Source organism: Homo sapiens, chromosome 15, assembly GCF_000001405.40.
Source record: "Homo sapiens chromosome 15, GRCh38.p14 Primary Assembly".
Taxonomy (NCBI): domain Eukaryota; kingdom Metazoa; phylum Chordata; class Mammalia; order Primates; family Hominidae; genus Homo; species Homo sapiens.
Window position 1 is genome coordinate 78787297 of NC_000015.10, and position 25348 is coordinate 78812644.

At 53.8% G+C, this 25348-nt stretch overlaps 1 protein-coding gene across 3 annotated transcripts in view, besides 1 other annotated feature; it reads right to left on the bottom strand.

Annotated features, from left to right (window-relative positions):
- ADAMTS7 (ADAM metallopeptidase with thrombospondin type 1 motif 7) overlaps positions 1-24168 on the bottom strand; it is a 52259-nt gene extending 28091 nt beyond the window's left edge. For 2 of the 3 annotated variants that reach the window (NM_014272.5, XM_047432122.1), the window contains exons 1-8: positions 23825-24168; positions 12896-13251; positions 10652-10817; positions 9294-9490; positions 3844-3927; positions 3374-3498; positions 2393-2542; positions 935-1078 (exon numbers count right to left, since the gene is read on the bottom strand). In NM_014272.5, the coding sequence (NP_055087.2) occupies positions 935-1078; positions 2393-2542; positions 3374-3498; positions 3844-3927; positions 9294-9490; positions 10652-10817; positions 12896-13251; positions 23825-23924 (1322 nt within the window). In that variant the 5' untranslated portion in view covers positions 23925-24168. Of the gene's footprint in view, positions 1-934; positions 1079-2392; positions 2543-3373; positions 3499-3843; positions 3928-9293; positions 9491-10651; positions 10818-11087; positions 11287-12895; positions 13252-23824 lie in introns of those variants that run through there. The other variant, XM_047432123.1, reaches the window with a different exon arrangement.
- Positions 24196-24615: a silencer, noted in NCBI's record as "silent region_6715". NCBI's record gives its function as "represses an Ori minimal core promoter by ATAC-STARR-seq in GM12878 lymphoblastoid cells {active_cell/tissue: GM12878}" and the evidence as "EXISTENCE:reporter gene assay evidence [ECO:0000049][PMID:35858748]".

Below are 25348 nucleotides of genomic sequence, written 5' to 3' on the forward strand. Positions count from 1 at the left end.
TAATTTAAATTTAAAACTTTTTCTTACTTAGAACATTAAATAGCAAATTTGAAAAAAAAAAAACAAAAAAACACCAGAACAGGCCGGGCATGGTGCACCGCTCATGCCTGTAATTCCAGCACTCTGGGAGGCAAAGGTGGGCGGATCACCTGAGGTCACGAGTTCAAGACCAGTCTGGCCAACATGGCAAAAGCTCGTCTCTACTAAAAATACAAAAAGTAGCCAGCCGTTGTGGCACACGCCTGTAGTCCCAGCTACTCAGGAGGCTGAGGCAGGAGAATCGCTTGAACCCGGGAGGCGGAGGTTGCAGTGAGTCAAGATCGTGCCATTGCATTCCAGCCTGGGCAACACAGCGAGACTCTGTCTCAAAAAACAAACAAACAACAACAACAAAAACACCAGAACAAATGAAGAGAACATGAAAAAAAAGGAGAAAGCTTCGTATTTCAGTTCCCTTAATGGCCCCTTCTTCCTGTCTCTGACCGGACCTTGTGGCTGTCCCTCACCTCCTCCAGCTTCATTTCCTACGCAGCCTTTGCTCCCATAGCCTTGCTCAGGGTTCCGCCGTTCCCTGAAAGCTCTCCCGCTCCTTTACCGCTACAGGCCTTTCTCAGGCTTCCTCTACCAAGAACACCATTCTTCTCCCTTCTGCACATGTGTGAATTCTTGCTCCTCCTCCAAGTTCAAGCCTCCTTCCAGGAGGACATTTGGGATGCCGGCACCACATCTTTGCCAGGTGCCCCTCTGTTTCCCTCTACCCTGGCCCTGCAGTGTGACTGTCTGCATCACCCCCATTAGACCTTGACCTCATGTATCAAGATCTTGCCCCTCTGCTTCCCTCTACCCCGGCCCTGCAGTATGACTGTCTGCATCTCTCCCAGTAGACCTTGACCTCATGGATCAAGGTATAGGGGCCCAGGGCTGGGGGACTTACTCAAGGAACCTGGTGATATACTGGCGGCTGCAGCGGGACCAGGTGAGGGGAGCGGCGTCGTACAGGAGCTGTGGAGACATGATGAAAGGTCGTTTCCCAACGGGCTCACAGTCATTGCCGCTTCCGTCATGCTGAATGCCAAAACTGTGTGAGAGCACAGGCCCCAGGGGCGGGTGAGCCGGCGGGAGGCTGCCAGCCTGCCCTCCCCTGGACACCCACAAGGTGCGCAGTCCTAGTTCCCAGGGCTGGTTCTGCCACCCAATGGCTGCACCCAATGGCTGCAGAAAGTCACATTCCCCTCTCTGAGCCTCAGTTTCCTGAATGTAAAATGAGGGTATGACAGCTAGTATCCCAAGGGCTCCTGTTCCAGCCTGAAATGAGGGCCAGGGACCCAGAGCAGCCCTGCCCCTGCCTGGGGGCCAGCCAGCAATGGCAAATCAGGTGGCACAGATGTGGGCCCGTGATGGCCCCTGCAAGCTCACTGGCCTCAAGAACAGTCTGACAGCGGTTCCCACTCACAGGTCCTTGTCCCAAGGCTGTGCACTTGAGTTAAGGGATCTGAGCTGCTGTATCACAGAAAGGTCTCCAGAGACCATCCTTGGGAAGGATACAAGAAAAATTATTTCCTGAGCATCTACTATGTGCCAGGGGCCATGCTAAGCACTTTCAGAAACACAATCTCACTCAGTTCTCATTATTACCCTCAGGAAGGCTCAGAGAGTCTAAGGAACTAGCTAGGGTAACACAGCCAGGAAATTGCAGTACTGTGGCAGGCTGTTCTTTCTGCAGCCATAAGCAGCTTCAAGGTCCTGCAGGCACGGCCATCGCCTACGAAACCCGGACGTCTGAATGGATGACCCCAACAGCTTTGACCCACAGAACGTTCTGGGAGCCTGCCTTTGATGGCTTGCTAGACAATCTAAGATGCTGCCATATTCGCCAGCTCAACAGCCAGGGCACAGGTGGCTGGAGGCCTGTGAAGACAGGAGCCTCAGGCAGCAGTGTCAGATAGAGGGAGCCTTGGACATCACTGAATCCAAACCCCTCAATCTATGGGAAGCACACAGAGGCCCAGAGAGGGCAGGCACTGGCCCAGGCCACAGAGCAAACAGGAACAGGGACAGGGATCGAGAGTAAAAAATACAGCACTGAGGGCAATGGGGAGGGACAGCCAAAGACCTACAATGATTTTCCGGCCCATCACAACTCCCCTTTAAATAAGACTCCCTCCAGGCCAGTCCTAGAGATGCCCAGGCAGCCCTCTCTCCTGCTTTACAGGGAAGCAGCCTGGTTGTGGGGAGGGGACAGTGCAGGGGCAGCACATGGCCAGTCAGGGCTCCTTTTCCAGAGAGCTTCCTTTCCCCTGGACTTTGTGACCCACAGGCTGGATACCCGGTGCCCCCAGGCTGCGAGGGTGAAGCTCGGCTCTCAGTGTAGCAATGGGGGCAGGCACAGTACCTGTGCCCGAGCTCGTGGGCTACAGTGAAGGCCAGCGGCAGGCCCGTGTCCTCGTTGATGCTGCAGCTGCGGTGCGGCTGGCACATGCCCGCCACATGGGACAGTCCCAGGGTCTCACAGGGCCGGTTCATGGCTGCACACAGGTCCTTTCTGCACAGGCAAAGAAGCAGCCTTCAGGCTAACCTGGCCCAGTGCCAGGCCCACCTGAGCTAAGGCCAGGGAAGGGTCCCCCCGAATTGATCCCAAGCGAAAAGGATGTCTCTCCCACCGTTCTGTGACATGAGGCCAGCACGGTGGCCGCTTGGGAAGCAGGTGCTCTCATTTACACACAACCGGCTGGGCATCTCTTTGGCCCTTGAGAGCACAGACCCGCACAGAACAATTTTGGTTACTATCCAGCAGGGGTGCTGACAGATGCCTCCAGAGTCCAGCAGAGGGAAAATAACTGCCTCTGGACAGATCAGCAGTTGCCGGAGGTTAGGGGAGGAAGGTGGCTGTGACTATAAACGGGTAGCATGAGACATCCTTCTGATGGGACAGATCTGTATCTAGACTGTGGGGGTGGGTAGGTGAACCCACAATGATGAAACTGCAAAGAACTGAATACACACACACACACAAAGGGAAGTACGTGTGGAACTGATGAGATCTGAGTAAGTCTGTGGATGGTATCAGTGTCAGTTTCCTGATTGGGATACTGTGCTCTAGTCATGCAAGATGTTACCACTGGGGGAAATGGAGGAAGGCTATACAGGCCCTCTCTCTATTATTTCTGATAACAGCGAGAAAATCCACAATTATTTCAAAATAAAAAGACCTCCCCAAGTGCGGACAGAATCCAGCCTTGGGCCAAAGGTGCGCAAACTCTCCTCAAAATTGGGCTCCCTGACAGCACGGCCCCCTCCTCCACCAGGGCTTCTTCTGCAGGGCCGGGAAGCACCTCCTGAGATGCAGGCTCCCACCCTCCTGCGGCTGCAGTACCTGGTGAGCAGGATGGCAGTGTCATGGTGCAGGGGATGGGCATCCCCCTTCATGTTGATGCTTTTCTGCCACTTGCAGAAGCTCTTCAGGGTGTTGTCTGCATGGTGCGTGATCTTTAGGTCCTCCTGGGGGCAGAGAGAGTGACTGCTCATGCCTCCCCTGAGTTCCAAGAAGGTCAGGCCCAATTCTCCCCCATACGAAGGCAGGAGACAGAGGCCCAGCAGGGAAGTGGGAGGCCCGCAGGCACCAGTCGAGCTTCCAGCCTGACCATCCCTCCTGTAGGAACCTCCTGCAGAGGACCTGGGACCTGAGAGAGGGTCAGTCAGGAACCAGGGGGTGGCAGGGGACACGGTCCAGGCCAAGGCGGCCTTCACTGTGCCCTTCCATAAAGAGCAGCACAGGTCATGCGGCAGGAGGGCTCTGGCAGCCGAAGCCATTGCCGGGCAGCGTGGGACCACATGACCACTCACCTCCTCATCTTCCAGCAGGACCAGGCGCACAATGGTGATGTGGATGGGGTTCCCAATGCTGGGGTCATGAAACAGGCCAGCCACCTGCCCAAGAGATGGGGGGGTCAGGTTGTCACGAGGATGAAGGATACAAGCAGCCAATGCCCACCCCAACCCACCCACCCACGCAGGGCAACGCACACCTGTGCTCACACACAGGGACTCTCACACTGGTGCACACAGGCTGCACAGTGGACAGGCGATGCATGTGCACCAATGCATGAGTGTCCCCACACCTCACACACACTGCCCCAATGTGGCAGCAGCAGAACCTGGAGAGGACAAGAGGCCTCCGAGGCCCCTTCCCAGAGTTGCAGCCTCTCCTGAGCCTCAGTTTGGGATCTGCTTCCCAGTACCAACTCCATGCCCACCCAGCACAGGCGATGGCAGCTCAGACCTCCAAATTCTGGTTTCTTGGCCTGTCGCAGGGCCCTAGTCCTACAACTGCCAGGGCTATGATAGCAGTGCCCTCCTGACCTGGGGATGCCAGGACCAGCATCCCAGGAGTGCACCCTCCAATGAGGCATAGAACTGGGCAGGGCTCAGAGGGTAGAGTGAGGGTAGGCACAGGCCTATGGAGCCTGCCCACTGCTCTGCTATTCCATTTCCCCGGGGCTGACAGCCATGGGGCCAAGGAGGCAGGTGTGCACATCTATCAGAGGCCCCATGGCTACATGGGGCTCCCTACTGAGACCCAGGAGACGGGGCTATCCCCAAAGATGGAAGATAAGCCAAGGTGAGGGGAAATGGCTGGGGAAAGCCATCTGCTCTTTTAAAACTCCCTCAGAACAAAAAAGAGGCCAGCCCATGACTGGGGACAGCTGGCAGGTTCCCAGAGGGCAGGGATGGCAGAACAGGCCAGTTGTGAGTTGGCTTCTAGCAATGCATCAAGAAAAAGAATATTCAAATAGCAAGGAACCAAACAAACACTGTTAAGAGGGCACCAAAGTCCCTGATTATGGGGATGAATGACACTCTCAGAACCCAAGGTCAGAAATGGGGAAGATAAACAGCGATATCATGTGCCACCGTCACCTCCACACACAGGCTGGGAGCCCGGGAGCCTTGAACCACCTTTCTCCAATACAACCAACCAATTTTTGCCTCCCAAGTTTTGCCCGACTCTGTCTCTTCTCTCCATCTCCAACACCACTGCCTCGTCCAAGTTACCATCATCATTTCGTCTGCTCAGTTGTTGAGGTCTCCTACGAGTGTCCCCATATTCTGCGGCCCCTCCAGACCACCTGCAGCCTAGCAGCTCCACCATCGATCTTTGAAATGCAAACCTCATCATGACATGCCTTTGCCTAAGGCAGTAAGTGGTTCTTCACTGTCCAGGAAAAGGACAGAAGTCCCCAGCCTAGCCAACAGGCTTCTTGGATCTGGTCCCTGCCTTCCTCTCTGACCTCCCCTTGCCTCTGAGGTCAGGAGTTCGAGACCAGCCTGGCCAAATGGTGAAACCCGTCTCTACTAAAAATACAAAAATTAGCTCGGCATAGTGGTGCATGCCTGTAATCCCAGCCCCCTGGGAGGCTGAGGCAGGAGAATCACTGGAACCCGGGAAGGCAGAGGCTGCAGTGAGCTGAGATTGCACCACTGCACTCCGACCTGGGCGACAGAGCAAGACTCCATCTCCAAAAGAAAGAAAGAAAGAAAGAGAGAAAGAGAGAGAGAGAAAGAAGAAAGAAAATGGGGTAAAAAGGGACCTGTCTTGCTATCCTTGGGACAGACCCACCCAAGCTCTAGGACTCAGGTCTGAGTCTAGCACGGGGAGAATGCTGATAAATTGGGGTCTGTAGGTAGCATTGGTAAAGAAAGATGAGGCTGTCCTGAAGGTGGCTGTGGGTCAGATACTGCAGCAGCCAAAAAAATAGCCGCAGCCAACCTCAATCGAGCTTAACACGTACAGTCCCTGTGCTGGGGGCTTAGCATGCATTATCTCATTTAATCTTCTTACTTCTAAGGTAGGCACAATTATCCTCGTTTTACAAATGAGGTAAGTGAAGCTCAAAGAGAGGGTAAAACTGGGCTCAGAACCCAGGTTTCGCTGCTTCAAAGCCCCTGCTTATATCCTAAGTTTGGGGAATGCTGCCTGCCTATTCTGTTGGGGATTCTCAATGCATATTTACTTTGAAGGGTCTGAGAAGTCCTGTAGTAACGAAGTCTGTTTTACCTTTTTTTTTTTTTTCTTTTGAGACAGAGTCTCACTTTGTCACTCAAGATGGAGTGCAGTTGCATGATCTCGGCTCACTGCAGCCGCTGCAGCCTCCACCTCCTGGGCTCAAGCAATCCTCCCACCTCAGCCCCTCAAGTAGCTGGGACTACAGGTGTGCACCACCATGCCTGGCCCGTTTTACTTTTTTTAACCCTGTGTGGCCAAACTTATTCAACAGCAGCATCTTTTTTTCACAGTGCACTACTGGCATTCTTTGGAACACACTCCCTGAAATATTCCTTGGGAAATGCTACAATGAGACAGAGTCCCCAAGTGTAGGATCATGCTCTTCCACATCCATCACTTTATCCCAGGTAGAGCGATGGCTCTCAACAAGTCAGTCTTAAATAAACATCTGATCCCGAGGGAACATCTGTTCCCCATCCTTCTGGCCCACCCCGGCCACCATGGCTTCCCAGCTGCCCCTCTCCAGGGCAGGTTAAGGGGCACAGGGGACAGAATGGGGCTTTGGAGGTAGACAGACCTGAGCTCCAGTCCCAGCTGTACCACTTACTAGCTGCGTGACCTTGAGCGAGCCCCTTGACCTCTCTGAATCTTTGTTTCCTCAACTTGAAAATGGGGGTGAGGGCCGGGAGTGGTGGCTCAAGCCTGTAATCCCAGCACTTTGGGAGGACGAGGCGGGCAGAATAGCCTGGCCAATGTGGTGAAGCCCCCTCTCTACTAAAAATACAAAAACTAGCAAGGCATGGTGGGGCACGCTTGTAATCCCAGCTACTCAGGAGACTGAGGCAGGAGAATCACTTGAACCCAGGAAGCGGAGGTTGCAGTGAGCCGAGATTGTGCCATTGCACTCCAGCCTGGGTGACAAGAGTGAAATTCCACCTCTAAAGAAGTAAATAAATAATAAAATGGGGGTGAGGCTTAGATGAGGTGGTGGGTGTTGAACACTGCACAAAAGGTAGACAGATATTCACAAGGCTCCAGCCCTAACCCACCAGGGCCTTAGGCCGTGGCTCCACAGTCCAGGCTTCCTCAGAGGCTGGCCATATGGGTTCCCATGTCCCTGCCATCCCTGCAGCCTCCTAGGGGGTCCAGCACTGTCAGGCTCATAGGTGCCCCCATCCTGTCCTGAACAATGCTGGGCTCACCAGCTCAGAAAAGCTTGATATTGTCAGAGCAGGTGAGTGTGAGAACCAGTCCCACCCTCTCCCCGAGGATGGGGCTCACCAAGTGAATGGGTAGGTCCTATGAGCCAGGGCAAGGCAGCCAGGAAGGGGCCAGGCCCTGGGGCAAAAACACCTGAATCCTGTCACCCAGGTTAAGTTATGGGGTACCTGTTGGGTTGGGCAGGTCTTTTTTTGTTTTTGTTTTTGTTTTTTTTGAGATGGAGTCTCGCTCTGTCACCCAGGCAGGAGTGCAGTGGCACGATCTCAGCTCACTGCAACCTTCGCCTCCCAGGCTCAAGCAATCCTCCCACCTCAGACTCCCAAGTGGCTAGGACTACAGGTGTGCACAACCACACCCAACTATTTTTTGTATTTTGGTAGAAATAGGGTTTCACCATGTTGGCCAGGCTGGTCTCCAACTCCTGACCTCAAGTGATCTGCCCACCTTGGCCTCTCAAAGCGCTGGGATTATAACCATGAACCACAATACCCAGTCGGGTGCGTCTTACTCTGCCCAGAATCTGGAGCATAGGGGACACTCAGAAAAGTGGGGGTGAAATGAACCCAGTTAACCATTGGTGGCTCAAGTCAGCCTCCAGGGTCTTTCAGGCTGAGCCCCCAAAGTGCTGAGAATGAGAAGGAGGGAACCTCAGGGCCTGAGAACTTGGCCTTGCCCCTTGCTCCACCCCTATAGCCCAGGGGCTGGGCCCTGCTGTCCAGCAATAGCCCTGCTGAACCCTGGCTGTTAGTGGCTCCCCTCCCTGGGCAGATGAAGCTTGATCTGGGCCTTCAAGGCCTCAAATGCCAGGCAGAAGGCTGTGACTTTTATTCCATATGGAACAGGGAGCCAATGAGGGTGTCCCAGTGAGGGAAGAACTGGCCCAGAGCTGCACTCACTGATGAGGACTCAAGTAGTGGGGACGTGGTGGCCAGCAGGTAGAGATAACAGCCCTGGATGCAGCCCCTTCCTCTCTTTGAGCCTCAGGTTTCACAGCGATAAACTAGGGGGCCAGACACTGCATGATCTCAGAGGGTACTTCCTTTAGGGTTGCAGGAGGTGAGGGGCTGGCAGGGGGAAGCAGCAGCATAGGATCCTGGCCCCAGGGCTCCTTTAGATATTATCCTGTTCACAGCACACGCACTTACCTTGCCCCCAACAACCCAGCCCAGGAGAGAAACAGGGTTATATGGTGGCCTGCCAACCAGGTGGCTGCTAAGAATGCCAGGGGCAGAGATCTTTCCTCCCAGGGGCTGCAGGAAGCAGCTTGGAGCCTGAGGCCTCCACGGGCACCCACAGGGCAGGAGCAGGGAGTGGCAGCTCTGCAGTAGTCGGCTCCAGGAATCCCAGCTGCAATCAGCCACAGTGCCCCCGGTGGGACTTAGGACACCTGAGCTCCCATCTGGCTCTGCCCTGCCTGGTTGTGTGACCTGGGCAAGTTACTCGCCCTCTGAAGGCCTCTGATATCTCATCCATCATGTGGGGTCAAGAGCAGTTTGCCCACCCCACAAGGTACTGTCGTCATGCCCAGTTCACAGATGAGCAGGCTGAGACTCAGAAGGGGCAAGTGACTTGCCCAAGGCTACCAGCTAGTGACCATAGAACTGCACAGATTCTTCTAACTGTAATGTGTGCTGATGTCTCAGGCAGAGTCTCAGGCAGAGTGTAGTCTGATCAGGCATTTCTGTGTTTCCAGCATCTAGCACAGGTCCTGACACAAAGGAAGGAAGTATCTGTGCAGGGAAACATGAAGGACCCAACTAGTCTACAAGCCCCCCAGGCAAGCACAGGGTTGTGGCTGCCTCAGTCTCCCACTCCTGCTCCCCCTCCTAGTGGCATGACACCCTATGGTGTCCCCACAGCAGCCCTCTGCCCAGGCTCTCTCATAGTGACTAGCTGCCAAGACCCCCACCCCTTCCTGGCCTCAGGAGCTTGGATACCCTTCTTCCTACTTGGGGCCTAGACCTGGGTCTGGGGTCCAGCCTGACAGCCTTCCTGCCCTGCACCCACTCTTTGCACCCCACCCCCCAACACCATCCCCGCCACCCGCTCCTGGCCCACACAGACTCACCATGTTCATGATGGTCAGCACATAGCTCTCAACCTGCGGCTGTCCGTGGTACTCCACCATTTTGGCATCAGCTACTACCAGGGTCTCCACCCACTTCTCTTTGCTGACCGACCGCTGGTGTAGACGCCTCAGCCGTGGCCGCCGCCACTGCTGCCGCTGCTCCCAACGCTCCCGTCGAGACTCCAGCTCTGGGTACACTGGAGGCCCAGATGGGGTGGAGTTAGCTGCCAGTGGACAGGCCCAGGGCACACGTCTCCAGGGCCTCTCCTCAGTGAGCTCTCTCTGGGGCACTGGGAACCACACAGGGATCAGAGGCCAGGGGCCTGAATTCGCCTCCTGGCTCTGTCCCAGATCTGTGCTGTGTGGCTCTGCCTGGTCACTTTCCTTTTCTGATCTTGAGATTCCCTGACTAAAAATAGGAATAAATTGCCTCACAGGGGGACCTCAAAGGGCAAATGAAATGGTGGATATAAACATGGTAAAGTACTGTGTCCATGGGAGGGGAACTCCTGGGCCTGACAAAGCTGGCAACTGGGCCCCTATCTCCCCGTGTCACTTCCTCCCACCCTGGGGGCTTAGTGCATCCCAACACAGGCTGACCCCACCCTCTAAACCCCAGCCTGGGGAGGCTGGCCAAGACCCAGCCCAGCTTGCCCTACTGGGCCTGCTCCCCTGACCCAGGCTGCTCCAGATCAGAAGAGGAAGCACATCTATGAAGCTGAGGAAACTGAGGCCAAGAAGCATGCCTCTGTGGATATGTGCTCCAGCAAATGCAGTACCAGAGCTGTGGGCAGCCTGAGATTGGCTTGCTAGCCAAGCATTCCCCAAACCCCAGCAACCCTTAGCAGGCAGCTCCTCACCTGGACTGGCCGGCACTACTGCTGCTCTGCAGAGGAGGCACTGGGTACCACACTCCAGGTCCCAATAATAGAGGTTAGTTATTCTAGGGTGGGAGCAGGGTGGTGGTGGGAGGGAAGTTCCTGGCTAGTGGCCCTGTTGGAGCTGGGCACAGCTCACCCGGCCTGGGCACTGGAGGAAGAACGGCTGGCAGAGCCAGGTACCATAGGCTGTTGGCGGGGAGGGAGCAGAGGGAGGCTGAGCCCCAACGTGGGAGAAGTAGGTGAGATGGAGCGAGGAAGGTCAGTCTAGGGGATTGACTGGGGCAGGCCCGAAAGGCAGAGGACACAGTCTTGTGGCACAATTAAGGGCACAGGCTATGGTAAAGTATCCATCTGTCTGTCTGTGTCATCTGGTCTAAGGGGCACTGGGCATGGGGATGTTAAGGGGGGCTTCTAGAAAGGCCCCTTCATGTCCCCAGGCCCAGCACCCACCCGAGAACTGGGAGCAGAAGAGCATACCTTGCACTCCACAGGTGCTTGGAGCACTGGAATCACCCCGCTGTGCCAGCCTCTCCGGGGCCTGACGCTTGTACACCACATGGGGCTGGGCGTGGCCAGGCCGGGCCGGGGCACTGTCCAGGGGCTCAATGAAGTAGTCCTCGTTGGAGAGCTGGAACACACCTTTCTGGGGAAGAAGCACCAGGGTCACACAGGGAGGGCTGGCCCTCAGCTGCTCTTCTTGCACGTCCCAGAGGCCCGTCCTGCTCAGCTGAGCCCCCACTGCCCACACCACCTGTGACTGCCCGCGGACACACTGTACTTTCCTCCCGCTGGGCCTTTGCTCACTCTGTAGCCTCCATCTGGAAAGCCCTTCTCTGCCATTTCACACACAGCCAAACCTTCAAAGCGGAGCTCAGAAGCCTCCGCCCCTGGGGATGCTGCCCCACACACCCACCCCATTAGGAGAGGGAAATGTGTCTGCATCCAAATCTGACAAAACGGTGTCTTAGTCCCAGACAGCCATCCTGAGTGGGGCAGCTTGTGCCCAGGCCTCCAGGCTATTCTCCATCTCCTCTGCATGCCAGCCATTTCCAGCACTGTGCTCCCTCCCAGCTGGCCAGGGCTTCTGACCTTCCCTCTATCTCCCTAAGGCAATGAATCACTCCAAAAGCATCCACAGCCACACCCGAGCGGAGGAGATGCCCACGGCCACCAGGACACCCTGTTCTCTGGGCCCAGGGCTGCCCAGAGAAGGGAAGCTGGCAGGAGTGTCTTGGACATGTCCGCCAGCATTCAGAGTCCAGGGAGGGGAGGGGCCCTGGGAAGCATCTTTGATGCCCACTACCTCCTGAGGAAGCTCAGGGCTCCAACAGGAAAGAAGGTTTTATGTCCCTCGGACTTCCCCTCATAGGCACCAATTCTGCCCCTTGGGTCACACAGGACCAGGGGGCCTGGAGGGAGGGCTGGAGAGTGCATCAGCTCTTGGGTCTGGAGACCTGGGTATGAATGCGGAGTCCCCCCCTCCCGCCCACCACTCACTGAATGACTAGGTGACCCTGGGCAAGTTCCCCTCTGAGCCTGTTTCCTCATCTGTGAAATGGGAATGATGCCCCATGTGCACAGCTGTGGCACAGGCTCAACAAGATCAATTGTACATTAAGGGACAGGCACAGGCTCCATAAATGGGAATACTGTGCAGGGCAGATGGGCCTTCAAAGGTCCAGACGTTGTGCAGCTTGCGTTGTGGGCTGCCCTGTCATTAGGCCCTGTGCGGCCACAGCCCATGGTTTTTGCCTGAGCAATCTAAGCTGAGGGCCTCCTGGGAACAGTGGACGCTGAGAGTGTGCACACATCCCCTACTCCTCCCAAACCCCCACCCTCCAGAGCTGGGAGAGTGGGGCTGGTCACCTGAACACGAACAGAAAGGGGCCCTACTCTGCCTGGAGTGGAAGCTGCTCTAATCAGCACCCAATCAGGGAGCAATTAGGGCTGCAGTAGCCAGCACCACCCTTCAGCCAGGCGAAGCCAGGAAGCTGAGACCTGCTTTTCCTGGAGTTCTGATTCGAGCAGAGGGGCTGAAAGGGGTTCCTCACCACACCCTGCATAATGGCTACAGGGTGAGGGGTAGCTTTCCTGGAGAAAAGCAGCCTAAAGGGACCTGTGAAGGAACAGTCATAACTGATGCCCCAAGGAAGAGAAGTCAACTGCTTTTTCAGTTACTTAGTCCAGTCAAACGGAGGTTCTCAAAATGGGATCTCTGGACCTGCATCTTCAATATTACCTGAGATGTTTTCAGAAATCCAAGTGTTTGGGCGCTATCCCAGACCTATCCTGCAAAAATTCTGTTTAAACAGGGCCTGCAGGTGATTTGAGCTCATATTAAACTCTCTTTTTCTTTTTCTTTCTTTCTTTTTTTTTTTTTGAGAGTGCCTGGGGTCTCGCTGTGTCGCCAGCTAAGCGCAATCACCACACCCTACATCCTTGAATTCCTGGGCTCAAGTGATCCTTTCGCCTCAGCCTCCCAAATAGCTGGGACTACAGGTGCACCACCACCCGGCTTTCACATTAAACTTTGAGAACTGTTATCCTAGAGATCAACGAGGCCTGCGTTGTCACTCCCACTTTACAGGCGTGAATACCGAGGCTGGCAGAGAAAAAGTGCACTGGGCAAAGCCACCAGACAAGTGCGTGGCAAGGCTAGAGCCAATCTGCACATCCCACCACCCGAGACTGCCCCAAGTATACATGTCCCAGCTCACTCACCAGGCCGTCGCAGGCGCTGATGGCCGCCAGGCCACCCTCGAGCTCAGGGTCCTGCACCTCGCCAAGCAGGTGGCAGGCCGGGGTGTGGGCCCGGATGTGCGCGCGGCCCAGGCCGCCGCGCCGCCGCGTCTCGCTCACAAAGCCGGGCGCCAGCAGGTGCTGATTGGCGGTCAGGTTGAAGCGCAGCTCGCGCCCGCGGTATTGTAGCTCGTAGAAGGCGGGCGCGTCTCGGCGCACAGATACATCCCGCTTGCGCAGTGCGCGGGGCCACAGCTCGTAGGACAGGAAGGAGCCCCCCGCGTCGACTCGAACCGGGTGCACGATGTCCAGTGCCGCCCGGCCCTCGGTTGCACGTCCTGCAGGGAGAGAACCACAAACGCCTAGGCCCAGGGCAGACCCGGGTCCTTGCTGGTGGCCGGGGACCAGAAGGGAGCGGCCAAGAGGGGGCTGCTGGAGTCAGAGTATCTGGATTCAAATCCTCGCCGGGCTATCTACTAACTCTGCTATTTCATCTTTCCGTGCCTCAGTTTCTCCATCTGGATCGTTGCAGTAACTTCTTTTGTTGTTATTGTTGTGTTTTGGGTTTTTTGTTTGTTTGTTTTGAGACAGTCTCGCTCTGTCGCCCAGGCTGGAGTGCGTGGCGCGATCTCGGCTCACTGCAACCTCCACCTCAGGAGTAGCTGGGACTACAGGCACACGCGACCACGCCCAGCTATTTTTTGTATTTTTAGCAGACACAGGATTTCACCATGTTGGCCAGGCTGGTCTCAAACTCCTGAACTCAGGTGATACGCTCGCCTCGGCCTCCCAAAGTGCTGCAATTACAGGCGTCAGCCACTGCGCCCGGCCTGGATTGCTGCGGTAACTTCTTAACAGGTCTCTCTGTTTTCACTATTGCCTACCCCAGGTGCCCCTCCCCTCGTGTTTTCACCAAGGGAAAGCAGCCAGAAAGATTCATTCAAAACCAGCGCGATCATCGTCTTACTCTGCTCATCGTCTTACTCTACTCATCGTCTCTCCTGCAATGGCGCCCATCTCACTCAGAGCAAAAGACAAAGTTCTAGCCTGTATGAGGCCCTAGGCAAGGTGACCTCTCCAATCTCATGTCCAGCTACACAGCCTTAGTTCCCTCCACTCCACCCACTGGCCTCCTTGCAGTTCCTCCACAGGCCAGACGTGCTCCTGCTTCAGGATTTTGCATTGCTGTTCCCTACACCTGGAACACTCTTCTCTCTGTTTTCCACATGGCTAAACCATTCACTTTTGGGTTGTTGTTCAAATGTCTCCTTCTCAATGAGGCCTCCTCTAACGACTTTATTTTAAAATTGCAACTCCCTAGCTCTCCCTATCCCCCTTCCTTGCTTTATTTTTCCCCACAGCACTCCTGACATACCATATCACTTAGCATTTTCATTATTTTTTCTATTTATTTGTTTTCTCCCTTCCCTCCCAGTGTAGTCTAGGAAGGCAAGAATCTATATTCTTTGCCCCTGCTTTTTTTTTTGAAATGGGTTCTTGCTCTGTCACCCAGACAGGAGTGCAGGTGGGCAATCATAGCTCACTGCAGCCTCCAACTCCTGAGCTCGAGCCATCCTCCCATCTCAGCCTCCCAAGTAGCTGGGACTACAGGTGGGTGCCACCACACTTGGCTAATTTTTTTTTATTTTTAATTTTTTTAATACAGATGGGATCTCACTATGTTACCCAGGCTGGTCTCAAACAAACTCCTGGGCTCAAGTGATCCTTCTACCTCAGCCTCCCATAGTTCTGGGATTACAGGCGTGAGGCACCAAGGCTGGCCCTGGATAATTTTTTATTTTTTTTTGTAGAGATGGGAGTTTTGCTGTGTTGCCCAGGCTGGTCTCGAACTCCAGGTCTCAAGCGATCCTCCCACCTCAGCCTCCTAAATTGTTGGGATTACAGGTGTGAGCCACCACACTTGGCCCTTTATATTCTTTGTTAAAGATTTAAGTGTTAGAGGAAGTGTCCAGAACTTAGTCCTTTTTTGGTATTTATTGAATGACTCTGTAGAATGCAGATAACCACAGCACTTACAATCTCGATGCTGTCGTGAGGATTAAACCTGGTGGAGCTACTCCCTTTAGCAGTGCCTGAGCCACTGGTTGAATATGATGGCAATTATGATTGTTATGATTATTATTAGCCTGACGGATTTAAAAATGTGCTCTCAGATGCGTGAGCATTCTGCAAGTGTCTCCAGGCCTCCTGGATTGGGGAGACAGAGAAAGACCACCCCACTGGGGCTCCCTGGCCGCTAACCACCACTTCAACAGGGTAGCTCTGGTTTCTTTCTTTTACATGCAAGAATTCATTTAAAGAAAGGTTCCAGGGATGGAAAAAATTGGCAGACCTCTGCTCAGGCCCTTGCAGTTTAAAAACCCCTCTCTGTTGCTCTGTCCTCCTGGATTTCCTAGTAAGGCCTGGATTCTTATCCTTTTTTGCCACAAACCCCTTCTCCTCAGAACAATGTTTTGAAATGCATAAAATAAAATACACAGGAGTGGTTGGGCACGGTGGCTCATGCCTGTAATCCTAGCACTTTGGGAGGCCGAGGCAGGCAAATCACTTGAGCTCAGGAGTTTGATACCAGCCTGGCCAACATAGTGAAACCCCATCTCTACTAAACATGCAAAAATTAGCCAGGCTTGGTGGTGCCTGCCTGTAATCCCAGCTACTCAGGAGACTGAGGCTGGAGAATCACTTGAACCTGGGAGGTGGAGGTTGTAGTGAGCCGAGATCGCATCACTGCACTCCAGCCTGGGCGACAGAGTGAGACCCTGCCACAAAAAAATAAATAAATAAAATAAAACATACAGGAGTACCAAGGAAATTGATTAGATTGAAATACAGTTATCAAAATAATTTAAGGCCAGGCATAGTCGTTCATACCTGTAATCCCAGAACTTTGGGAGAATGAGATGGGAGGATCACTTGAGCCTAGGAGTTCAAGACCAACTGGGCAACATAATGGGAACTTGTCACTACAAAAAAAAAAAAATTAGCCAGGCAAGGTGGTGCACACCTATAGTCCCAGCTACTTGGAATGCTGAGGTGGGAGGCTCTCTTGAGCCCAGGAGGTCGAGGCTGCAGTGAGTCATGATGGCGCCACTGCACTCCAGCCTAGGTGATAGAGTGAGACATTATCTCAAAAACAAAACACAACAAAACAAAAAATAATTTAAAAAGTAGGGTGTGGAATTATACTTTAAACAAGATTTTGTGGCAAATTTAACAACTATGGTCTTTTTTTTTTTTTTTGAGACAGAGTCTCTCTCTGTCACCCAGGGTGTAGTGCAGTAGCTCAATCTTGGCTCACTGCAACCTCTGCCTCCCAGGTTCAAGCAATTCTTGTCTCTTAGCCTTTCAAGTAGCTGGGACTACAGCTGCATGCCACCACTCCCAGCGAGTTCTTGTATTTTTAGTAGAGACGGGGTTTTGCCATGTTGGCAAGGCTGGTCTTGAACTCCTGGCCTCTAGTGATCCACTCACCTCAGACTCCAAAAGTGCTAGGATTACAGGCGTGAGCCACTGTGCCTGGCAACTATGGATATTTTGAAGTAGTGATGAACGTAAACCTTATTTCAAGATACGTGCAACAACTGTAATGAGATAGAAAAATATTTGGTTTGCTGTATTGGTAACAAAACCACAGGTGCTGCTGGGATTTGCTAATAATATTCATAATTGAGGGAAATGCTAAATTTCGTTGAGAGATTACAAAAAGTAAATATGTAATATTTTCCCATTCAAGTTCACGGATCCCCTCAGTTCACGGTCCCTTAGGCTGTGGACCCCAGGTTAGGACACCTGCAGTAAGGTGTCCAGACTGCTTCCTAGGTGAGACAGCAAAGGGAGGCTCAGAGAGGTGGAGAGACTGGCCTAGAGCCACACAGTAACAGTGAGAGTGGCAGTGCTGAGACTGAGACTCAAGTCCCCCAAATGGTTTCAGTCTCTTCAGTAACATTGCTCTATATTCTCAACAGTCCATCCCTTACTGGGCCTCAGTTTCCCCATCATTAATGTGAAAGAGTTGAATTAGATCACGTTTCTCAAATCTCTTTGGACACCAGTTCTAGTCTCAAGAGAAATCTCATGTGCCGGGGGTTGGGGGAGCTCTGGCATCCATGCTTTCCCCCCTCTTTTCCCTCTCTGCAGTTCCCAGGCTCTAAAGAGCACAGTTAGGGAACTTGGCAATCCGGAGTTTCTCGATTGGATTTATACCCAGCTCCCAGGATCCTGGCTGTTCACGACAATAGACTCTTCAGGCTCGCATGAATGCCTGAGCGCCCTGCTGACATCCCACCAGGGTTCCTTCTGCTGCTGCCCAGCCCGAAGCTCCATCCCAGCAGGCTGCGGAAACCAAACTTGCCCTCCAGTCTGTCCTCTGCCGAACTGCACGTAGAGTGCCCTGCACATGCCAGTGCTGTGCCCCTGCTGAGAGCATCTCCCTCTGCTCACAACCGCCGCAGCGATGCCAGCCTCAAAGAGCTTTCTCTGAGAGTCAAGAGACTGGGTAGGCTGGGGCAACGTGCTGTGTGGCTCTGAGCTAATCTTCCCCATCATTGAGCTTCAGCGGGCCACTAGTGCAAGGATTTTCCAGACCTCACAGATGAATTTCTTAAAAAAAAATTCCCAGGCCCCATCCCAGACTCACTAAATCAGCATTTCCAGGAAACTAGGACTAGGGACTAGGAAGCTATGTTTTTACCAAGAGCCTCCGGGAACTGTGATCCTCAGGAAAGTTAGGAAATCCCCCACTGGGAGTGAACCTGGCTGGTCATCAGCAGTACCTGGAGAGCTCTGAAAAACTGCAGATGCCCAGGACCCAGCCCAGAGATTCTGGTTGCACAGATCCAGGGCTCTGGGGGCCCTAGAATGTGTATTTTCTGTGTTTTTCTAGACCTTCCCAGGGATTCTGATCTAGCCAGTTCAGAGGCTGGCATTCAGAAGCCACCGGACTGGATGATTTAAGGCGACTTCTTGCTCTGACATCCTAATAAGGGCATATGGGACTACAACTCCTCAACCACAGCGTGCAGATTTGCTTGTGTTGATCAGTTATTGATTTTTTGGTTTGTTTTGGCTGACACAAATATTGAAAAACGTTTTAGTCAATTGCCAATGTTTAAGAATCACATGATCTTGTACAAAAATCTCAATTTTCAGCTTTTCTTGAAAAGTCTTATCATCCATCCATGTCAGGCTTAAATTGCTCCCTGGCAGAAGTGGCTGGGGTGGAGCAGTGAGTTCCCTTTAGGAAGGGCCTATGCTCCCCGGTCCTCAGTCCCCACCACTCCATATTCATTCCCAGTACTGTGGCTGCAAGTAGGCTCCCTTTCCCATCATGCTTGTGTTTCCTTTCACTCAGTAAAGAATGGAAAAGTGGGAAAACAAGAGATAGGCCAAGAGGCCCCATGTTTCAGGAAAAATCTGTCTCCCTACCCACCTTGTTTGCTCATTTACGTTACCTGCCTAGTCCACGGCATTTGGTATGTGACCCTTGGCTACTAACTGTGAGGGGGCACTAGGTGCTCCAAAGTCCAGGAAAGTGGGTAAGACACCATCCTTGCCTTCAAATGGAGAAATGGCCAGACGCAGTGCCTCACACCTGTAATCGCAGCATTTTGGAAGACCGAGGAGGGCAGATTGCTTGAGTTCAGGAGTTCGAGACCAGCCTGGGCAACATGGTGAAATCCCATCTCTACAAAAATACAAAAATTAGCCAGGCATGGTGGTGTATGCCTATAGTCTCAGCTACTCCGGAGGCTGAGGTGGGAGGATTACTTGAGCCTGGGAGGCGGAGGTTGCAGTGAGCAGAAATTGTACCACTGTACTCCAGCCTGGATGACAGAGCGAGACTCTGACTCCCCCCCCCAAAAACACACACACACACACACACACACACACACACACACAAAAAAAAAAAAAAAAAAAAAAAAAAAACAGAAAAATGGGTGCAGTAGACCCAAGACCCCCACTCTGGCACAGTGCTGACAAGGTCCAAGCAAGGGGAAAGGATGACACCTTATGGATGCATTGGAATGAAGAAAAGTTTCATCAAGGAGGATGCATTTGAGATGTCCCTTAACATATGTTAATTCAACAGTGAAGACAAGAAGGGCCTCATGGTGGTAGGGGCACTGTGTGGTAAACCCTCAGAGAAGTGGGGAAAAGCCAGAAGTAAGAAAGGGCAACAAGAAGTTTAATCTTGGTCCAGGCATGTGTTTTGTAAAATGGGAGGCAATGGAGGGACAAAATAATGCACTATAGAGCATGGGCTTTGAAAGTAACAAGACCCAGGGCAGGCCCAAGTGGGCCACTTAATAGTTGTATAATCTGAGTCACTGCATATCTCTGGGTTTGTTTCCTCATCTGCTTGGAGAATCCAGGCCAGAAAACGTAAGGAAGGGAGCCCAGGTCAAGGAGACGAAAATGACAGAGATAGGGAAGAACTACTTCCCAGGTTCACTCGCAGTGGGAGATTTCCTAACTTTCCCAAGGATCACAGTTCGTGGAGGCTACAACTCCAAGGCTTGTTTTTGTTTTGTTTTGTTTATGTTTTTGTTTTTTTGAGAGAGAGTTTCGTTCTTGTCCCCCAGGCTGGAGTACAATTGCATGATCTTGGCTCACTGCAACCTCCGGCTGCTGGGTTCAAGCAATTCTCCTGCCTCAGCCTCCCAAGTAGCTGTAATTACAGGTGCAAGCCACCATGCCCAACTAATTTTTGTATTTTTAGTAGAGGTAGAGTTTCGCCATGTTGGCCAGGCTGGTCTCGAACTCCTGACCTCAGGTGATCCACCCGCCTCAGCCTCCCAAAGTACTGGGATTACAGGCATGGGCCACCATGCCCACCCTCCAACACTTGTTTTAAGTGAGTATTAACGTTGGTTCCCAGGGCAAGGACAATCCCAGCCAAGGCAGCTAAAGATGAGCTGAAGGTCAGGGGGGCACTGATGCCAACCAGCTCTAAAATTCTCAACTGGGGGAGCTACATGACACTCTTTTAGGCAAGTTTTGTCCTCAAATGCATGTGGTTGGGGAATGGAAGCAGGTATGTAACTGAGGAATCAACCACTGGGGAGAAAAGGCCCCAAAAGCTTAAAAAAAATAAAGTATCTCTGGGGAAGAACCCATGCCCCAGCGGATGTACAGTCCTGTTGAGAATACCTGCTGTAGATCCTGGGCAAATATTGCAAGACAGAAATTCCAGATGACTTACAAAGAAGCATCCTATTAAGTTCAAAAATGTGGACAGGGCTAAGTAGAGCTATGCCGCAGGTGAAAAGCATTCGGATTAGTGAGCTCTAGAGCCAGAGAGGCTGTGTTTGAATCCCAGCTCTGCTACCCATATCTGTGAGACCATGGGTAAATTACTCAACCACTCAGAATCTCAGTTTCTCCATCTGTAAAATGGGGATGATAATAATTACAGCTGCTCTCTTTGGTTGTGTAAGAATTAAATGAGTTAGTATGTAAGTGCTTATAACAACAGCTGGCACATAGCAAATGTGAGCTAAGTTATGACTGAAAATTAGCAAGAGAACTTCTAAAGTATATTTAGCTTTTTCTTTTAAAAACTTGTTGTTTTATCTGTTTGCCTAATGGCTTAAAAACAAACAAAACAAAACAAAACAAAAAACATGTTTTTATTTATTTATTTCTTTTTTTTTTTTCTGAGATCTCCCAGGCTGGAGTGCAGTGATGCGATCGTGGTTTACTGCAGCCTTGACCTCCTGGGCTCATGCAATCCTCCCACCTCAGCCTCCCAAATAGCTGGGACTACAGGCGTGGACTACCAGGCCTGGATAATTTTTAAATTTTTTTGTAGAGATGGGGTCTCATTATGCTGCCCAGGCTGGTCTTGAATTTCTGGGCTCAAACGATCTGCCTACCTTGGCCTCCCAAAGTGCTGGAATTACAGGTGTGAATCACTGTGTCTGGTCTAAAACATGTTTTTCAATCAACAATAAAAGAATAGACTTACAGGATGTTGCCACTTTTATTGCAATAATTTTTTTCTTGTTTTGTTCAGATTTTTTCTTTTGAGACAGTCTCCCTGTGTCACCCAGGCTAGAATGCAGTGGTGCGATCTCGGCTCACCGCAACCTCTGCCTCCTGGGTTCAAGCAATTCTCATGCCTCAGCCTTCCGAGGAGCTGGGATTACAGGCATGCACCACCATGTCCAGCTAATTTTTGTATTTTAATAGAGATGGAGTTTCACCATGTTGGCCAGGCTGGTTTCGAACTCCTGGCCTCAAGTGATCCGCCAGCCTCAGCTTCCCAAAGTGCTGGGATTACAAGCATGAGCCACTGCAGCCCGCCAGCATTACCTTTTTTTATAGTGAACTTGTATTGTTTTGCCATTAAAATATTTTTAAAAAGTGCAGGGGTAAGTTTAAAAATAAGTAACTTTCACTGTAGCCTAGTTGACCTCACTCAGTAGAGATGTTGGTGGCTGAAACTAGCACCACCCAGTGCCAGCAAGGAGTAATTGCAGGTTCCAGTCTCGACCGGTTATGTGCTTGCAACAAAGCTGAGCCTGCAGAGTTCAAGTGACAGTGGGATGGCAACAGGCACCATTCAAGAGGACTGCCAGAGATTCATGGCCAAATCTATTCTGCCAAGTCAGGAGGTCTGTTCTGATTGGACCAAGCTCCTGCCACATTGGGTGTTAAATACTTTTAATATCTCCCCTGGGTGACAGAACTGTCACTTTGGAGCTTCTACCAAAGAAATGCCAAGATGGTGTTTACCCTCACCTCCCTATCAAGAACCTGAGTTACAATCCAGCCCTTCAAATGACCCACAGCTCATGCCAAGGAGGAAAAATAACTGGCAGGGTGGGGGGTAGTATGTGAATGCCCTCCTCTGTGAGTTCTAGTATGCACAGAAACACATGCACACAGAGTTCACATGTGCCATACGGCATGAGGAGGACACATGACTGGGCTCCAGCCTCAGAAACCCTAGCAGGTCCCTGGGTCAGTCACAAGTGGGGAAAAGGGATATATTTTCCTAAAAGTGAGCCCAGGATGAGCCCTTTGGTCTTAAAGAAGGTAACATTCAGTGGTAGGAGGAGCCCCAGGCTTAGGTCCTGGGCTTCAAAGAAAATGACAAACAGGCCAGCAGCCTCAGAGTCACCAATCCTGAGGGAGTGCAGAACAGGAAGGACCCCATGCTCTATATCTATGGGAACACTAGAGACAGACTTCACCCTTGGAGTGTTTGTGCCCAGATTAGGTTGGAGAGAGTGCCTGGCCTGCCTCCACCCTCAAACAGCAGGTCCAGGTCATCTGGGGAGTCCTGGGTCGGCCTGGCAGATTAATAAAAATAATGACCACTACATTGTAGTCACTGTGTCCTGCCTGAGCAACTGACATATTCAATATCTCATTTAATCCTCATAAGAATCCCACGAGGTTGACCGCACCCAACTCTTCCCACAGCTGCCAGGGGGCCAGGACCCAAGTCCTGAGGGAAGCATTTTCCTGCTCTCCCATTCCCATCGCCCGGTTCATCCTCCTCAGCCCCCAGCTCTGGACAGTGGAAAACACAAGCCTCATTCAGGAAGCTCAGGAGTCCAACCCCACAGGTCGCTCTACTCTGAGCCTGTTTGCTGGTCCATAAAAGGACTTTCCATCACTTGCTTTGCACGGTTGTTGTGGAGATGATGAGAAATAAGAACCCGTGAGGCTGGCACACAGTAGGTGCTCATTAAATGTTCGCTCCCTCTGCGCTCTGCGCATGGCTGCTAGACCAAATCTTTCCAAAACACTGCTTTCATCAGCTGCTCCCCTCAACGGCTTCCCAAACCTCTAAGATCAAGAGTCAATGTCCCCATCCTTCCCGCCCAGACTACTTTCTCGTCACAATCCCTCCAGTGGGGAGGCAGGTCGACCCCATCCCAGCAAGCAACCCTAATCCAGTCCCCCGACTGATGCTCCCCAGGGGAGGGCCCCACTCCCTCCACGCCCTTCTAGCTCATCCAGAATCCATCCATCCTTCCAGTCTCTCCAACCTCATGCCCCTCCTCTCCTACAAAGCCTGCCGGTCGGCTCTATTGCAGGACTCTCCCCACTATCCACCGGCTCCCCTGACTGGGAGCTCCCTGAGCACCGGGCCTGGGGTCTCCTACATCCTCGGTTACTGAATTCCCAGGCCGGCTGCGTCGGACGCGCCAGCAGCGCGGCCGCCCGGCAGGTCGCCGCCAAACAAGAGTCTGGACGCAGGCCAGAGGCTCGTCGGAGGCCGGCCCGGCGGGGCGGGGAGAGTTAACCCATGGCCGGGAAAAGAAGCTCCTGCTCCCCGCTCCACTCCCGGCGTCTTCACACTTGGGGAAGGGAGAGGCAGGAAGTGCAAGGACCGCGCAAGACCCGGCCCCCCGAGCCGCCAGGGGCCGCGCCAGCAGCCCAGATGCGGTGGGCGGGAGCTGGGGGGGCGGCGGGGTCCCGCGAAGACCTGCGACCTGGCGCCCTCGCCGGCTGTGTCCCGGCCAGCCCGCTTTCCAGGCGAGCCTCGCTAAGGAGTGTGAGAAACCAAATCCTCAGTGGGTAAACCGCGCTCCGTCCAGCCCACTCGGACGAGAGCTCTCCCGGGAGCCAGGCGCGTTGCTGCACCCGAGGTGGGGAAACCGGAGCCCGAAGAGCGGAAGGGGCTTATTCCAGGCGACAGGCAGTGTCAGTAACTGAATCAGGGGCCGAGGAAGTTTCCCCAGAAGCGCGGCTTCGCTCCCGGCCCGGCCCGACCCCGACTACTGTCCCCTAATACCCAGGGAGCGGAAGACGCGACCAACTCCAGGCACAGCGGAGCCGGCGCGGGGTCCACAAAGGTGAGGAGGGACAAAACCGAGACTGGGGGAGCGGGAAGGGGTGGCAGGCCCGGCTGGCCGGGGAGGGGCGGACACCCACCTGGTGCGGGTCCGGGGGCGCCGGGAGCCAGAGCGCAGAGGAGCAGGAGGAGGGGGCGCAGCAAAGGCGCGGGGCTGCGGGGACTGGGGCCGCCGGGCATGGCAGGAACCGGGCGGCCGCCGGGTGACCCCGCGCGCACGCTCTCGTCCGTCCCGTCCGGTCGCTGCCTGGTCCCAGGTCCGGCTCAGGACATGCCCGGCCGGCGTGCAGCTCCCGGCGACCCGGCCCCGACTCCGTTCGGCTGCGCTCGGTCCGCGGGCAACAAAGGCTGCAGGGCCCGCCCCCTTGGCCGCTGCAGAGGCAAAGAAAAGACAAGAGAGCTAGAAGGAGAGAAAGAAAGAAAGAAAGAAAGGGAGGGAGAGTGAGGGAGGGCGGCTGCCGGCCCCCGCCCCGCCCCTCGGACTCCTTCCCCCGCCCCTGGCCCCGCCCCGCCCCGGCCGGCCCCGGCCTCATCGGCCCCGCAGGCCGTGCTCGCCTCAAGGGCTGGCCGGCCCGGCGCAGGCAGCGCCCCGCAACGGATGTCCGCCCCCCTCGCCCCCCTGTCCCGAGCGCCCCCTGCCGGCGGAGCCCTGCCAGGCCTTTCCGACCCCGGCCGGTTGAGGACCCCCGGAAAGAATCTGGAATTTCCAGAATTAATGTGTTGTCCCTAAATTGGGCTCCACGAGGTGCCCTTCGCTGTGTTCCCCAGGCCAAGCAGGGCAGCCCCTCAAAAGGGGACGCGGGAGGCCTCCAGAGGGCCACACCGGGGGCCCTGCTTCAAAGCTATCTGCGGAGACAGGCCTGGGCCCTCCCTGGACAGACAGCGGTTGCCCGCGCGAGGTGGGGCCCCGCAGTTCCTCGTCTCCTGACTCCTCTCCTAGTGCGTTTGCTTGAAGCAGAGCGCAGAGTTGAGCCCACAGGCGGGGGACCGCGGCTTCGCCCAGGCCAGCGCCCACAGACTTTCAGCAGGGGCTCCCGGGGAGCCTGGAGGCCGGCCAACCCCAGCCTCACATCCCAGGCCAGCCTCCGCCTCCAACACCGGCCGTCTGTCCTTCGTGGCCCCAGCCCTGGCTCTGGCTTCCGGCTCCCCTTCCCCCTGTGCTCCCAGGAGCTTCCTTTCTCCCTTCTGCCGTCACTAAACATGGCCCTGTACCGAGGACGCCCGTCTTGTCCTCGGGGCGGTTGCGGTCAGCTTCCTCCCCTTGGTTAGTCTTTGTGTGCCCCCTGCCCTCTGAGGCCCGCACACCTCCTCATTGTCCAATCTCCTGGGCCCTTTCATTCAATTCCTGGAAGCTCACTTCTGGCTTCCTCTCCACCCTCAACCTGTCTGTCCTCTAGGGAATTTGTGTAGTACAGGGTCACCTACTTCCTCCATCTCATCTCCAGTGACCTTCCACTCCACCTCAGCCATCAGGTCTCAGGGCCAAAGCCTGGGCTGTGTCATCCCTCAGAACTGCTCCATCTTGGAAATCCGAAGCTCAGGTGCCCCCCTGTCAGACCCGACTCTGCAGTCCTTTCCACCTTCACAGTCCCACTATGTATTGC